The 18,156-nt window shown below is 34.7% G+C and overlaps 1 protein-coding gene across 3 annotated transcripts in view; it reads right to left on the reverse strand.

Annotated features, from left to right (window-relative positions):
* EXOC5 (exocyst complex component 5) overlaps positions 1 to 18,156 on the reverse strand; it is a 68,399-nt gene that overhangs the window by 26,205 nt on the left and 24,038 nt on the right. For all 3 annotated transcript variants that reach the window (NM_006544.4, XM_005267272.4, XM_047430882.1), the window contains exons 4-12: positions 17,454 to 17,648; positions 12,884 to 12,948; positions 10,627 to 10,655; positions 9,000 to 9,109; positions 7,277 to 7,321; positions 7,032 to 7,172; positions 5,956 to 6,038; positions 4,795 to 5,004; positions 3,023 to 3,170 (exon numbers count right to left, since the gene is read on the reverse strand). In NM_006544.4, coding sequence (NP_006535.1) covers positions 3,023 to 3,170; positions 4,795 to 5,004; positions 5,956 to 6,038; positions 7,032 to 7,172; positions 7,277 to 7,321; positions 9,000 to 9,109; positions 10,627 to 10,655; positions 12,884 to 12,948; positions 17,454 to 17,648 — 1,026 coding nt within the window. The remainder of the gene's footprint in view (positions 1 to 3,022; positions 3,171 to 4,794; positions 5,005 to 5,955; positions 6,039 to 7,031; positions 7,173 to 7,276; positions 7,322 to 8,999; positions 9,110 to 10,626; positions 10,656 to 12,883; positions 12,949 to 17,453; positions 17,649 to 18,156) is intronic.

Below are 18,156 nucleotides of genomic sequence, written 5' to 3' on the forward strand. Positions count from 1 at the left end.
GGTTCTACAGTAATTCAGTGCGGAAAGGATAGTCTTTTCAATAAATGAAACTGAAACAACTGGATGCCTAATTGTAAAATTATGAACTTTGATCCACAATACTGTATAACTTAACTCAAAATTGATTATACATCTTAACATAAAGCCTCAAACTATAAAAGAAGAAAACATAGGAGGAAAACTTTGTAACCTTTGGTTAGGCAAAGACTTCTTATATATGACACCAAAATCACCATCCAGAACAGAAAAGTATTATTAAATTGGATGTCATCAAAATTAAGAACAGCTATCCTTAGAAATACTGATGAGAATAAAAAGATAAGCCACAGGCAGAAAAAAAATGTGCAAATCATATCTGATAAATTGTAACAATATAGAGTGCTCCAAAAATAAAACACACGATTGATTTAAAAATGCACAAAAGATCTGAACAAACACTTCACCAGAGAGTATATATTGACGGCAAATAAGCACATGAAAAGATGCTCAACATGAATCATCACTGCATTAGGAAAATGAAAACTAAAACTATAATCAAATATCACTACACACTATTAGTTTGGCAGCTTCCTAAAAAAAAACCATATGATTCAGTCATATCAATACTAAGTATTTTTCAGATTTATTCATGTTGACACATGTAACTCTACTTCACTCATTTAAATTGTTGTATAGTTTTCTACTGTATGAAAAACACCAGTTTAACAATTCTCTTTTTCATGGACACTGAGAGTTTGCTTTTAATTTTTCACCATGAAAAAAATGCTGTTATGATGTTATACATATCACATGAACCTATGAGTTTCTCTAAGAAACTGCCAAATTAATCCTCAAAATAACGGTACCAATTTCACTCCCATTGGCGGTGTGTGACAACTGCTTATTGCTCCACTTCCTTAACAACACTTGGTCATCAGACTTCTTAATTTATCCCAACCTAATGAATAAGTTGCATTTCCCTATTAGTGAGACTGAGTATTGTACTAGTGATTTACATTTTCTTTTTGTAAACTGCGTATGCGTATTCTTTGACTTGTTTTCTATTGATTTATATTCACATGTATAATTTACTGTCTCAATATAAATACAGATTATATACATCAACATAAATAATTAAGACTGCCTCAACTCTCAATCCACTACCTAAAAGCCAAGTATCTCAGTTCTTTATTTGCAAACTAACAACCTCACAGGGTGGTTATATGATGAAATAAGTTTACATACATATATATATACACACACACACACACACACACACACACACGTATGTAAACTACATACAAACAAGATATATATACATACACACACACACACACACACACACTTAAAATGCTTAGAAGAGTGGCACTTCTCAAAAGAAGACATTTATGCAGTTAACAAACATGAAAAAAAGCTCATCATCACTGGTCATGAGAGAAATGCAAATCAAAACCACAATGAGATACCATCTCACGCCAGTTAGAATGGCAATCATTAAACAGTCAGGAAACAACAAATGCTGGAGAGGATGTGGAGAAATAGGAATGCTTCTACACTGCTGGTGGGAGTGTAAACTAGTACAACCATTGTGGAAGACAGTGTGATGATTCCTCAAGGATCTAGAACCAGAATTACCATTTGACCCAGCAATCTCATTACTGGGGTATATACCCAAAGGATTACAAATCATTCTACTATTAAGACACATGCACACGTATGTTTACTGCAGCACTATTCACGATAGCAAAGACTTGGAACCAACCCAAATGCCCATCAATGATAGACTGGATAAAGAAAATGTGGCACATATATGCCATGGAATACTATGCAGCCATCAAAAAGGATGAGTTCATGTCCTTTGCAGGGACACAGATGAAGCTAGAAACCATTATTCTCAGCAAACTAGCACAGGAAGAGAAAATCAAACACCACATGTTCTCACTCATTAAGTGGGAGTTGAACAATGAGAACACATGGACACAGGGAGGGGAACATCACACAGTGGGGCCTGTTGGGGGGGTGGGGGACTAAGGGAGGAATAGCATTAGGAGAAATACCTAATGTAGATGAGGAGTTGATGGGTGCAGCAAACCACCATGGCACGTGTATACCTATGTAACAAACCTGCATGCTCTGCACACGTATCCCAGAACTTAAAGTATAAAAAAAAAAAAAAAAAAGGAGTGTCTGGAACATATTATGTACTATAAAATTATTAGCTACTATTATTTGTTTCATACAATCTTTTGCTAGTAGTATCATTTACAAATACTTTATCACTCTGACTTATCTGTTTATTTTGCTAAACTGTGTTTATTAGAGAGGAAAATCTAAGTTTTAATGGAGCCAAATCTTCACTCTTTCCCTTTGATGTTGATGCTCTTAAAACATTGTTCTTTCCCTGATGCACCATTTCTTCATGAGAAAAGTCTAACTGTCCCTTTCACATCTTCATTTAATCCTACATAACAAAAATTTGATCTGCTCAACTTTAATTTAAAGTTATATTCACATTTATTCCTAATTTTAAAATTATTCTGTTCTCCAAAATAAAAATCCTATCTTTTATTACAAAAAATAGTTGTTCCTAATCAGAGTAAATTTATATCTTAGTAAAACAAGGTAAGACTTAAAATACAACTACATAGTCAGTTCTCTCTAACTGTAAGTTCTGTATCTGTGGGTTCTGCATCAGCAGATTCAACCAGCCACAGATCAAAAAATATTCAAGAAAAAAAAAGAGAATGGTTGCATCTGTACTGAATATGTACTGTCATCATCCCCTAAACACTAAAGTTACAACTATTTACAGAGATTTACGTTGCACTAGGTAATGTAATAATATATATAAATAATTATAAGTAATCTACAGACTAATTAAAGTATAAATGAGGATGTGCATAGAATATATGCAAATACTACACACTTTATATAGCAGACTTGAGCATCCACGATTTTGGTATCCTCGGAGGTTCTGGAATCAATTCCCCACAGATATCAAGGAACAACTGTATATGTAAAATACATTTACAATCACTCTTACCCTATGACATCTTTCAAAGGCTTGTTTGGTTTCTTGTAAAAGATTAACCACCACTTCTTGGGATAGAAAAGTCTCCCCATGAGTATCGATACTTGGCCCAAGTGGTAAGTTGGTACGCTGTCTAATTCTTTCCTTCAAATCTTGAATACTAGTACATCATAAAGACAAATGAAAAAAAGAAAACATTTTACTTAGATTTCAACTTTGAGTACTTCCAAACTTAGTATATATCAACAACAAAAATGGACCAATAGCCAAGAGACCTAATTTCTAATTCCAATAACTAGTTTTGTGAAATAAAGTTAGCCCTGATATCTAAACGGAAGATTTTCATCTGATAAATGAGTAGATTTGGACTTCTAATTTCTGAAGTTGCTTTACAATTCAGCCTTACAATTCTGACTCAATAGTAAAACTTGCTGGGTTTCCTTAGAAAGTGAGCTATTCCAAATAGGTTGGCATTCTAAATAACGAAATAGTCCTGTTTAAAAAGAAACCTTTAAAAGTTTAACAATTTTAAAATATAGTCATTTTAAGATTATGCACATTTATTCATGATATTAAAGAAGATATATTAAACATAATTTAGCTATTCTTAATTACTGAGGGTCACCTGAAACACTTATATGGGGTATCTTTGGAAGGTTAAACTTTTTTTGCTCTTAGGATATGTAACTTGAGACTACCGTAAACACACACACACACACACACAAACACACACACAAATTCCTATTATTCATTAGTTTTCCTCTTCCCTTCCTTGCTACTACCTTTCAGGTATTACCTCTTACTACTAATTTTAACTCTCTCTAATCATTATTTAATACACAACAAAATGGGAAATAAGAAAACTGGTTTCGATATATACATGTGGGGATTCTGGACTTTGAGTCCACCAATGTCATTCTGTCTCTTTTTAGAATCTGGGTTCCAGGCAGTTAAAGCCTGGTAGCTAAGATGCCAACTATTCTTGGAGCAAGTTATTTTCTTCTAGTCTGTAAATAATTGTAGGCATTAAGGTATTAATTTAATAGTTTTTTATGCTAAAGTCTCTGAACAAAACTCATCAATTCAAGGTACTTAAACTACAAACTATTTTCTATTTTTTTCACACCTGCAACAGTAACAAAAAAAAGATGCGTTTCCTGGTCAATAACCTGGAACTTATTCTATCGAGAAAAAAAAAAATGAAAGAAACTATGGAACTTTTTATATTACTAGTGTTCTGCTCGATAGTTTTAAAACATTATTTTTTAATTGACAAATATCTACTTTACTTTTTTTTTTTTTTTTGACACGGAGTCTTGCTGTGTCGCCCAGGCTGGAGTGCAGTGGCGTAATCTTGGCTCACTGCAACCTCCGTCTCCCAGGTTCAAGTGATTCTCCTGCTTCAGCCTCCTTAATGGCTGGGATTACAGGTGTCTGCCACCACGCCCAGCTAATTTTTGTGTTTTTAGTAGAGATGGGGTTTCACCACGTTGGCCAGGCTGGTCTCGAACTCCAGACCTCAGGTGATCAGCCCATCTCGGCCTCCCAAAGTGCTGCGATTACAGGAGTGAGTTACCACGCCCGGCTTACATTTCAATCATGTTATGTTAGGTCATTTCAACATGTGGTTTAAGAACAAGATTTGATCAATAATATAACAATCTGGATTAAAAGAACTCTTCACAGAAAATTCTAATGATAGTCAACATTTGATAATTTGCCCAAATATAATGAAGTTATTAATGTCTTCAGTTTTAACAGAAGTATTTAACAAAAATACTCACCCTCCTGTGCCAATGGATCTCTTTTGATGGTTTTTCGAATCATAATAGCGCTGTAGGATCATAGCACTTCTGCTTTTCAAATATCCAGTCTCCACCTCAATATAGTTCTCCAAATAGGAAATGAAAATGGATTTGATAAGCTTAGACAAGAAAGTCTGTTTATCAGTACCTAAATTAAACTCCATCAGCTTGCTGGAAAGATTGGTGGTTCTTTTCATGAAAAAGGGGGAGAAAAAGATTAATATACATTTTAGGTATAGTAACAATATTAAGGAATACAAATTTTTACAACGTGACTTTCATGACTTATGTTAAGCCACCATTTCTTAAACTCTGGGAGAGTACTTATGATGCAGAGATCAACTCTACAGGGTTACATATAAATACAGTGAAATATTACGAACAACTTTACGGTTTTGAGAACTGTTATAAATTCCTAGGAAAAGAACTTGTGAGGCAATTAACTAGTCCAGAAATGGCGACAGTGGCAGATTGGCCTCAAGTATGTCTAATGCCATTCATCACATGGGACCCAAAACAGAGTACTGAAAGATCTACTGTCTGTTCACCCTCTTTTGTTTTGTCCTTGTGGACTTTCCCTCTAATTTTCTATTTCCCATTGCTGAAGATAGGGTCATAACAGTGTTGTTGTTGAGATGGACTTCCTCATTACGGTAACTTTGGAAAAACCTTCTCCCAAAATGAAGACACTGAAGAAGAGTAATAGGGTTGGGAAAAGTCAAGGAAAAAAAAAACCCCACAAGACTCCATATGAAGCTTCTGAGACAATCTCTAAGAGTAACACTGACATTTACAAAAGCACAAGACAAATTCCTACAGAAGATTTAGAGCTGAAATTGTCATTTGTTAAGATTACATCACTTCCTTTTGCAGTTTCTAAAGTTTTGACTGCAGATAAATGTAATTACACTAATGCTTAGAGAAAAAATAAAGCATAACATCCAATTCCTGACGTTAATGTATTAAGAATGTTGTACAATACAGTCTTGTACAATATAACTAGTCTATACAGCTAAGCATTTAATGCTAAAAGGTAAACTGGTGACAAACTTATTCAAAAATACCTGAATACTTCCTTGTTTTTATCAAAAAAATTTAAAAAATCTGTTATCTATTATTTTCTAATCATTAAAAATTTACCTTGTATACAGATCATAGAGATTTTTGAGATATTGCTCTGCATCGGACTTCCTACATTCTTCTAACTGCTCTTTCACAAAACTCTAAAAGAAAAAGGTTAACATTCTGTTAATTAGGTAAATATTAAATTCTACAACTTCTCAAGATATTTTTCTTTTAAAATTCACTCCACAGTTTTGAACCTTTCTGACTTACAATCCAATCAAAAAGGCAATTACAGAAAACAAACCAATCATAAAATATTTTAAAACAGGTTTTTACATTTTACCACTTCTCATATTTACCTGTAGAGGATCTTTATCAGTCTTAGGAATAATACCTTTTCTGTTAAATTGGCCTATTCTGCTCTGTGAGGTGCATCAAAAAAACAAAACTGAGAGTACAAACAATAGAGTCAATTCCTTAAGGCAGCATCTCCCAAACTGAGTTCCAGGTAACACTAGTGTTCCTTCAGATGTCTATAGGCATTACTCCAAAACAGGGTTTCTTAGACAGTAAATGTGTGAAATGCTGTACATTACATCCCCACTTCTAGAGAATGACAATACTATCAAAATTCCTGAATTGTGTTAAAAAAAAAAAAAAGCAAACATTTATTGAATGTTGTTTAATCCAGTTGTAAACAGCTTAGGAAATGTTATCTGAAAGTACAGTGATATGGGGGTAAATTAAATTTCTGTGTTTTCCCTTTTCAGGTTAGTACCATATTATTAAAAATTCTACAGACTGCTCTTGTAATTCTTGTTCAGTTTCACAAATGACATCTATTGGTGAAGGCAGGGACCAAAAAAAAAGAAAAATCTTCAAGGCTATCTTACCACAATATATTATACTACTACTACGAATACTACACAAATTTCAAGCATGTTCTCTGATGATACTTATTGATTAGCACTTTCTTCTTGGTGAATACAAAACATTTTTTAAAAAGCATGAGGATTCCTTTCTCCTTAACTAGATTACTATTTCTAAGGTCATTACATAAGTAAACTAAATTTTAAAAATACTTTTAAAATATAGGGAAAAAATTACATATTGCTTTAAGAACTATTTAATTTGTTACTATTTAAAATTACCTGTAGTTTGATTTCAAATACATTTTGAATAAGTTTAGCCAGGACTGTTTCTGGATTACTGAAGATATCTCCAACTTGTTTGTTCACTCTTTGACAGAGTATTCCAGCGTCTTCAAATATATCATTTCTCAAATAAGCACCCTAAACAGCAGAGACATTTTATACAGTGAACATATAATTTCTACATGATTTTAAAACAACAATTAGCATAAAATAATATCCAACAAAGTGTACTGTTATGTTACCTCCTGGCACTGCTTTATATAAACATCAACACAATGGGAATAACCCTACAAGGAAGAAACACATTGTTATTATTCTGATTCAATTATAATAATTATTATTTCAAAAAAAGAAGTGTTATATGTCATAAAGCTATGACTATTTACCAGTAAATGGCCAATAGCAACACCTGTTGGACTTAAATAAAATTAACTGCAGAAAACCAGTAACTTGATAAAGGTATCGTCTCCCTAGTCACTTTCTATGATAAAATTTATCAGTTGGTACATATCCTTGTTGAACTTTAGACTAAAACAAGAAAGATGAAGTATGTAACTGAGTTCTTTAGAGTAATTTTTGTCCTATGATCATCTAGCCATCTCCTTCAACTCCAAAACACACCCACTCACACCCACCCACACACATACACACAAACACACACATACACAGAGAGTCAAGGTCTTGGGAAAAGGTTTTACATATATATATGTATGTGTTTTATATACATATAAATATATTTATATATATTAAAGTGTGTATATATACGTGTGTGTGTGTGTGTGTGTGTGTGTGTATATATATATATATGTGTATATATATATTTCTTTTTTTTTTTTTGAGACAGGATTTCACTCCTGTCACCCAGGCTGGAATGCAATGGTGTCATCTTGGCTAACTACAACCTCTGCCTCCCAGGCTCATGCGATCCTCCTGCTGTAGCCTCCCGAGTAGCTGGGACTACAGGCACATGCCTCCCCTCCGGCTAATTTTTGTATTTTCTGTAGAGACAGGGTCTCACCATGTTGCCTAAGCTGATCTCGAACTCCTGAGCTAAACTGATCCACCCGCCTCGGCCTCCCAAAATACTAGGATTACAGGAGTGAGCCATTGCGCCTGGCCTTCTCTAGCATTTGGTTTTCCTTGCAAGAATCTGGACAGTTGTATTCAGCTGGTAGTTTGGAAATTTACTTTTTAAACTAAATGTATTTTAATAAAATGTGTTTAAAACAAACTGATTTGTCATTAAGCTCACCATAATGAGATTTTTGCCTATTAATAAATCATACATAAAAACCAGTAAGGAAAGCAATATAAAGTGCACTACTGTCTCAAGAGCCATTCTCAATACTCATTCAGATTTTACCAAAATGAAAAGTCCAACAAATAGCTTCCCCTTCCCTAATCTGATACAAATCAAAGAAACAGATTGAAGGAAGAACCATTTCTTTAAGCACTTTCTTTGCAGAAATATACTCCTACACAGGGATTCTCTCCCGAGTTCAAATTCTAGGTAAACAATTCCGTAATACAAAATTCTTTTGTATTACCTCCTGAGGTCCCCTGGATTTAAGTCTCTTACTAGTCATGTTCCATCTACTCTCTGGTTCCTATATCCTACAGATATTTACGGTCACGTTTTCTTTCTTTTCACCTATATTATAATATGTGGAAGCAAAAAGGCAGACAATATGATTTTCTTTATCAAAGTATAAAAATTCATCAATATTTAATTGATCAATTAATTTTAATTCAATATTAATATTATTGAATATAAAACCTTAAATATTAAATATATAACATTCAATACCATTTACAGAGTATCAAATGTACAAATTACTCAAAACAGTGAAAATTATCACTGTGATAGTTACATAATGAATGGGGGAAATCAGAGACTATAATATATAGAACTTACGTAATTTCCATAGCCTTGAACACTATTCATTTTTAATTCCTACTATTTACCTTAAAATGAAGTAAAACTGCTGCTACTTCTCTCATTCTGGAGATTTCACCTCTTCTTTGAGCACTGGTAAACTCCTGAATCAGCTGGCATTCTAAATCATGGTATTTACCTAAAAATAAAGTCATTCAGCTACACTGAGGCATACAAGGCATCCACGTTATTTAAGAGTATCTACATTATTTACAAATATAATGACTATGAATATAGCTTTCTTTTGAAGGAATTACAAAAACAAATGAGATTATAGGCCGTGAACCCAGCCCCTGTAATATACTGTGGCATATAAATCTATATTTTCAAGACAAAAAACTTCCAAACTGGCAAAATTACTGAGCTTTCCAGGGTCTGACTGTCATATGCCATTGTTACTTAAACCAGTAGCTGACTGGAAAAAATCCTCCAGATGCTATTTCTGATAGCAACACACATGAAAAATCCTACACATGGAAAGGGTGAAGAGGACTACAGAACTCTTTACTAGAGTTCTGATGCCTCTACCTAGAACAATAGTGGACTGATGACTGAACACCAAATCTCATCCTGATAATATGCAGTATTTATATTTTTTTCATTTTCTTTTTTTTTTTTTTTTCGAGACAGAGTTTCTCTGTGTCACCCAGTCAAAGTGCAGTGGCGCGATCTCGGCTCACTGCAACCTCCACCTGCTGGGTTCAAGCGATTCTCCTGCCTCAGCCTCCTGAGTAGCTAGGATTATAGACACCCATTACCACACCCAGCTAATTTTTGTATTTTTAATAGAGACGGGGTTTCACTATGTTGGCCAAGCTGGTCTCGAACTCCTGACCTCAGGTGATCCACCCGCCTCGGCCTCCCAAAGTGCTGGGATTACAGGTGCGAACCACCATGTCCGGCCCTATTCACTATATTCTTGAGGCTAGTATGGTTCTTAACGAACACCTGAACTTCAGACCAATCTATTGTGATCAAAAATATTCCCAGGAAGTCTAACTAGCTGTGTCATCCTTATTCTAAGACTTTTTGGGAATATAGATGAATCTTTGAATCTTCTATGCAGTGGCCTACTCTAAATAGTGACCCCAGCTACCACAGAACCTGCAAATTTAGTGGTCTTTTCAAAAACCTAGAATGATCTAACCTAAACTAAAATCCAAGACTGGCAAGAACCAAACTAATCATGTAAGGAGTTAAATAGATACTGAAATGCTTATATAATCTTAAAAAAAAAAAGAGAGAATCTTATTCAGAGATAGATGTATGGAAAGCACAGGATTTCCAAAATGCACTATTAAATTAAAAATGCAAGGTATAAAGCTATTTATATAGTATGGTAGCAATTATTTAAAAATAAATGAGGATAGAAGTACATATAAATATCTATACATACACATACATATGTACACACACACATATATAGAATTTATGTCTTATGCTTGTATATCCATAGATTATTCTGCAAGAATATCCAAAAAAACTGGTAATGGTTGTTTTGAGGGAAGAGAAATCAAACTCAGGGATCTTCTATGCAGTAGCCTACTAGGGTAGGAAGATGACATTGTTCCTGCTTTTTCTCCTTTTGCTGTTTTATTTTTACACAAGTAGTTTTTTTACTTATTAAAAAAAAGGTAAAATAAATACATCACTTACTTGCAATTTTGGATTTAACTTCTGAAAATCTGAAAGACAAAAACCAACCATGAGGTTTGTTAGTTGTGATAAACATCCTATGGCAATGTAAGATGCTAACCAAATGGGAAACTGGGTGCAGGAGATACGAGAACCATCTGTACTATCTTTGCAACTTTTCTGTAAATCCAAAACCATTATAAAGTTAAAAGGTTATTGTAAAAAGAAAAAAGACAAAATCAGAGGAGAGAATTCTGATAGGAAGCATGCCAGGTGATAAAACTTAATGTAGGTAGGTAGCTGGTTCTCATTTAGGAAATTCACATTGAAAATCAATTCTCTTTTTAAAGAATCAACTGCTCTGCATAAGACACTAACAACCCAGCCAGTCCCAAAACTGACTTACTGTTCTTACTTTTATTTGCTGGCATTTTAAATACACTTGATTATTTGTCTCCCTCCCCATTCCCATGGTTGGTATTTTTAAAAATAAAGTTCCATCATTATTATTCAAAAGAAAAAGATGATCAAATAATATATTATATGATGATATATTAATGACAAATGATAAGACCCAGCAATGTGCCTAGCAGAGTAGCCATTCAATCTTTACAAATTAAAAAACTAAAATACCACGCAGTAGAATTTTTTCAAATCTCAAATATCTAAGTGAAATGCATAGCATGAAAAAGAAATATTTTAAGATTGTGTGCAATTGTTTGAAGAGAGAGGAGAGTGGCTGGCAAAAGAGATGCCAAAGACAAATGAAGAAGGAAACAAAAATCTAGAGTGTTATACAAAAATGATGTATCAAAGTCACAGTAGATCAGATCACATATAAGGCCATATTAATCTGTGTGAAAAAATTGAATCTATTTAGGATATATATTCAACTCCACATATATATACACACACACACACACACACACACACACACACTCATATTCACCACCACTCAGGTACATACTTCTCTTATGGTTTTGTTTTGGCCTCTTCACCAAGCCTTGGAGTTGAATATATATCCTAATTAGACATATATATATATATATATATATATATACACACACACACACACACACACACACACACACACATATTCATATTCATATATATATGTATATATGCATGTGTGTTCTGGAGTGGAAAAATAGGATGAAGACAGGGTAGGGGGATGCAGTCAATAATTATTATGAGCCTATTTTGAGCTAGACATTTTACCCATTTAAGTAAATAGTCCAATTCTGAAATGACATAAAGTTAAAGAGAAGTTTTGGTGGGTGACTTTAAAAAGTATTACAGTAAGTTAAATCATAATGCTGGGCAACTACCAGATTATTATTAAGAATGATAGATGATCATTATTGCTAATTCTTCATGATAATCAGAGTTGAGAATAAAATAGATACATTTTTAGGGGGAATTCATTACATGTTTGGGAGATAATGGTTAAGCTAAGTATAGCAATATATCCATATTTTACCTGTTCCTGAAGATCTTCAAGTATGAACAAAAATAACATATTATATGTCTATTACTATGTATCATTTATAATATATTAAATCATATTTCTTTCAAATATTCACATGGAGGAAGTACTATTTTACCAACAGTTTATTAAAGAGTCTGACATTCCATACACTAGAAGAAATCATGAAAAAATTTCCTTCTCAGTGGATAGTTTATTTTAGGATGAAATCTAACTTAGTAATGGCTCTGGGGCCTTGCATTTTAAAAAAAAGGGGTTCTTAACCTGAAGTCCCTAGGAAGAGTTCTGTGGATAGGCTAGAGTCTAAAACTCCATGAAATTGTATACAATAATCTGTGTGTATCTTAATTTCCTGAAGAAAGGTGATAGCGTTCATCAGCTTTTCAAAGGTGTCCAAGGCCTCCAAAAGCCTAAGAACCTTCATCAGGAAATAGGAAAAGTGTTCTCTCTATCCCCTACCTGGTTCTCAAAGTCCAAAGTATGAAAATCCAAATTTAACCTCAGTCGATTTCAAAATTCTCCTTCATCAAATTTTTTTTCAGGAGACAGGGACTGAAATTATTTCAAGGCCTATCATTAAATTTAGATATTAAGAAGAGACTGTATTTTTTCAATAAACTATTTTACACTGCATCTTGTACAAAGTGAATAAACTAGCAAGTAAATGAACCAGCAAGTGCTCAATAAATTTCCGTTTAATTAATGGGCAAAGAAAATCATACAGGAAAAGATACTATTTTATTTTATAAATTATACCACATATTCAAATTAGCTCTTGAGAAATGAACTTGCCTATCAAAAGGTAACTCTTGGGCAATTAGGTGCAACTTCTGAATGATGTCTGCTGCTTCCTTTATCTATGAAAAAATAAATAAAAGCAATAATTTAAAAAACTTTTAGGCATATCAAAAAATAATTATATATCTGAAATTAGTAATATCTCCCTGCATGTGCCCACAGTCCCTTCCCTAAAAAAATTTCCTTTAAAAATCCACAACAAATAAAACTTTATGAGCAACAAGAATACATTTGGGGTGTTACCAATAATGAGTCAATAATAACATAAACATTTAGCTTTCTGGTACTGAAATTCTGTGATTTTTTTGATGCCACAATCCCTTCCCAATGAAACCTGTAGTTCAAGTTTATTCCAAAGAAATTTAAATCATTGCTTGCTGAAAGCCAGGTGTAAATCTCAGAATTCTAAGTTTATGAACCCGAAAAGGATAAACGAGATTTATAAAAATAATTTAGAGCATACTGCCACATATATCCTACTGTAAGTTAAATGCCTGTCATTACTGATCATATGAATTTATAACACTTGTTCTAAAAGAAAATATAAAGTTTAATGTAAAGCCCCATGATGAAATATAATATAGAAATGTGTATATTTCTTTTCTTTCTGTCTTTTTTTTTTTTTTTGAGACAGAGTTTCACTCTTGTGGCCCAGATATCTCTTAAGGCCACAGATATCTTGTGGCCTAGATATCTCTTGTGTGTAAAGCACAGATATCTCTTAAGGCTGGAGTGCAATGGCGCGATATCTGCTCACTGCAACCTCCGCCTCCTGGGTTCAAGTGATTCTCCTGTCTCAGCCTCCCGAGTAGCTGGGATTACAGGCGCATGCCACCATGCCCGGCTAATTTTTGTATTTTTAGTAGACACGGGGTTTCTTTATATTGGTCAGGCTGGTCTTGAACTCCTGACCTTAGGTGATCCGCCCACCTCGGCCTCCCAAAGTGCTGGGATTACAGGCGTGAGCCACCGAGCCCAGCCAGAAATGTGTAAATTTATTCAAGTTGTGGAACTAAGGAACTTAGGCAAGAGTTCTAAAATTCTTTAATGCAGATATCTGTGCTTATTTACACAACAGTTCAGGGGAGTTTACAATGTTCATTTATTCTTTAAATCTCAAACTAGTTCTCAGTTTTACTTTGGCACAATTTTAATAATTCATTTTATGAAGATTCATTTTCTTTTACATTTGAAAAAACAGTGAGACTCATAAATACGAAGGAAGAGCTAAGAACATCAATATAGATTTTTTTTATTTTCTCTTTTTTTTGAGACAGAGTCTTGCTCGGTCACTCAGACTGGAGTGCGGTGGCATGATCTTGGCTCACTACAATCTCCACCTCCTGGGTTCAAGCAATGCTCATGCCTCAGCCTCCCAAGTAGCTGGGATTATAGGCATGCACCACCACACCCGCTAATTTTGGTATTTTTTTAGTAGAGACGGGGTTTCGCCATGTTAGCCAGGCTGGTCTTGAACACCTGGCCTCAAGTGATCTGCCCATCTTGGCTTTCCAAAGTGCTGGGATTACAGGCTTGAGACACCACGCCCTGCCCAATATAGATTTTTCTAAGTAGGCATGTGAACTCTGACAAGCAACTGTGAATAACAACAGCAGAGCCTCTTCTCCCTTCTTGCTCCAAATTATAGTGAATATAGCATTTCTGCTTCAGTCATCCCTTTTCTCCTAGTCAGCAGGTCACTATCATTTTCAACTACCAAACACTCACTCTGTCCTGTTGTATATGGGCACAAATATCACTGCAGTATCTGTCCTCACCATGCCATTTAGTTGTATTAGCAAAATCCATCATTTTCTCCTCACCAATACCCCCTTAATACCCACTTCAGAAATAATATACTTGGCACACAGCCTGCTCTATGCTTCCATAAGGAGTTTTTGTTCTTTTAAGAAGTCATCATCATCATTGTGCTATTGCAAACTTTGTTTAATGTACTAACTAGTATAGGGGTAAATGGCACTTGTTTATATTGAATTTCCATAGCAAATTATTTTATAAAAATTGTGTAAAGCACAGATATCTCTTAAGGTTACAATATACAACATTTAGTCAGTTAAAACATACTACAACAATAAGTAACAAAAGCTGGCAAAACTATATTCTAATAGTTATTGACATTTGGGTGAGGTGAGAGACTACCCTTGCTAATAGTGTTAAAGATAATCACAGTCATCAAGTATTATCCACATGAGGAACAATAAGCTGCCATTCTAGGTAAAAAAGAAAAACAGACCAGGTGCGGTGGCTCATGCCTGTAATCCCAGCACTTTGGGAGGCCGAGGTGGGCGGATCACAAGGTCAGTAGATGGAGACCATCCTGGCTAACATGGTGAAACCCCATCTCTACTAAAAATACAAAAAATTAGCCGGGTATGGTGGCAGGCGCCTGTGGTCCCAGCTACTCAGGAGGCTGAGGCAGGAGAATGGCATGAACCCAGGAGGCGGAGGTTGCAGTGAGCCGAGATTGCGCCACTGCACTCCAGCCTGGGGGACAGAGCGAGACTCCGTCTGAAAAAAAAAAAAAAGAAAAAAAAGAAAAAAAAACAAAACCAACATATGTGTAAGGACAGAGGTAAACACATAATAGGGTTTTTTTTGTTTTTGTTTTTGTTTTCAGAATATGAGAAGATTCTTTTTTTTCTTGAGACAGGGTCTGTCTGTCACCCAGGCTGGAGTGCAGTGTGGCAGTCACAGCTCACTGCAGCCTCAACCTCTGGGGCTCAAGCAATCCTCCTGCCTCAGCCTCCTGAGTGCTAGGATCTATGGACATGTGCCACAACGGTCAGCTAATTTTTTTTTTTTGGTAGAGATGCGGTTTCACCATGTTGCCCGGGCTGGTTTCAAACTCCTAAGCCCAAGCAATCATCCTGCCTTGGCCTCCTAAAGTGCTGGGATTGCAGGCCTGAGCCACCACACCCAGCCAAGATGCCAAAAAAGAACAATTAAAAAAACAAAAATGACTAGGGGGAAAGAAGGAAAAGAATATGATGTGTTGATATCTTATCCCATTCTAATTCCTCCCACAATCACACACTGGTCTAGCTCTGTGGGTGCTTTTTCCTTTTCTTTCCATTGGGAAGGTGATTGGTACAGAGTCCAGAAATTGAGACAGCTAGGAGTTTATCTAATAATTGGCAATCTAATACTATATGAGTTCTTAAGGATGGCTAACTGGTAGAACTAGGCCAAAAATTAATTCAACTGCAAAGATATGGAACCAACCTAAGTGCCCATCAACCAACGAGCAGATAAAGATAAATATGGTACGTTTACACCATGGAAAACTACTCAGCCACAAAAAGGAACAAAATAATGTCTTTTGCAGCAACTTGGATAGAGCGGGAGGCCATTACTCTAAATGAAGTTACTCAGGAATGGAAAACCAAATACCATATGCTCTCATTTATAAGCGGGAGCTAAGCTATGAGGACACAAAAACATACACAGTGATATAATGGACTTTGGGGGCTCTAAAGGCGGAAGTTGAGAGGGGAATAAGGGGTACAAGACTACATATTGGATACAGTGTACAATGTTTGGGTGACAGGTACACTAAAATCTCAGAATTTAACACTAAAGAACTCATTCTTATAACCAAAAAACCACCTGTACTTGAAAAACTAAATTTTTCAAAAACACCTTTTCTTTAGAGGAATTATCTGTACACACATAACTATTTTCCAAAGAACTCTAAAAATTATAAATTCTATAACCCTATAGAGTTCTATTAAAAAAAAGTGTTGCTTAATTCAAAGTGAGTGTCAATAATACTTAGCTTTTACATTCCACTATCTGAAATATTCTATGGAGTAAATCTGGAATAATTCAGGAAGACTGTATTCAATATGAGTGGACAATGTTGCTATGTACATACAAGATCCATAAGAATGTCCATTTTCTTGCACATTTTGATTTTTTTTCCCCTGAGGGGAAGAAAGTGAGCTAAATTACCTTCTTTCAAGATTGTAGAGCAGCCAATACCATGTACCCTTAGACCAGGAGTAAGTGACTAGTGCTATGAAAAGGATTAACATAAACAATTAATTCAGAATTTTTTTCAGCTCTCCTTGGTCCAAACTGCTTTAATTCTTTATAAGAGATCTTTATTCAAGTAATAAAAACCAGAAGTTCTGAATTCCTTATTGCTTTACAGAAAAGCATCTCAGCTTATCAATGATTTAGGTCAGACCACCCCACCACCACCCAATGGACTGTCACTATTTAAAAACTATAGAAATTCTGTTAATATTGAAAGAAATCTATGGTAAAGAGATATTTATGAACACAGCTACCACAGCATTTTTAAGCCACAAAAAATTTCATTAAAAAAATGCCAGGAAACCCAATTAAACATCTCAATATTAACACTTCATCAGCAATCTACAAGAAACTGTATTAGTTTACATTTCAGAACAATAAAAACTTTTAATAAGTCAGCTACTCAGTGATTTGAAGTCTAACTCTGGAAAGCAATTATTGCAGCTCATAATTAGGGCACTGTTATTAATGCTGTGATTTGGTTTTATCCTCTGACAGCACTTACCTTTTCAGAATTTGTAAAAACATCAGATTTCAATTCTCCATCTAGAAACTCATTAAAGTATTTCATCAATTTCTGAGCCTCCACTGCCCGTTGTCTGGGTGTGTTTACCCCCTCTAACTGGTCTCCAAGGTGACAGACTTTAGTTGCTACATAGCTAATGTGCTCATCTAGTTCTTGGAAATGTTGGAAGGCAACCTAGGAAAAATGTGCATAAGCATAAAATACAATCAGTGTGCTCAGTTTATAATCTAAACTACTACTCTTATTGCTACTAACTAAAGATAACAGAAGTTATATACGAGATGATCTACAAAATTCATGCTCATTAGTGTGACATGATCTGAAAATCTGTTAACCAAACTGCAAACTTTTATACCATTAACTATTAAAATAATATTTATCGTGAGTACATTAATCAACAAAAAAGCAAACAAAAAAAGCTGTTTACTCCTCATCCTGTTTTAAAAAAACACTCAACACCATTTAGCCCCAAATGATGATTCTGAAAACAATTAGCTAAGTATGAAAAGGACCAGACATCTAAAGAGCTCTCTTGCTACTAAACTGAAAAGAATAAAAAATATGTCAGTAGGAGGCCGAGGGAGGCAGATCACTTGAGGTCAGGAGTTCAAGACCAGCCTGGACAACATGGTAAAACCCAATCTCTACTAAAAATACAAATATTAGCTGGGTTTGGTGGTGG

This window comes from Homo sapiens, chromosome 14 (genome assembly GCF_000001405.40).
Source record: "Homo sapiens chromosome 14, GRCh38.p14 Primary Assembly".
NCBI lineage: Eukaryota > Metazoa > Chordata > Mammalia > Primates > Hominidae > Homo > Homo sapiens.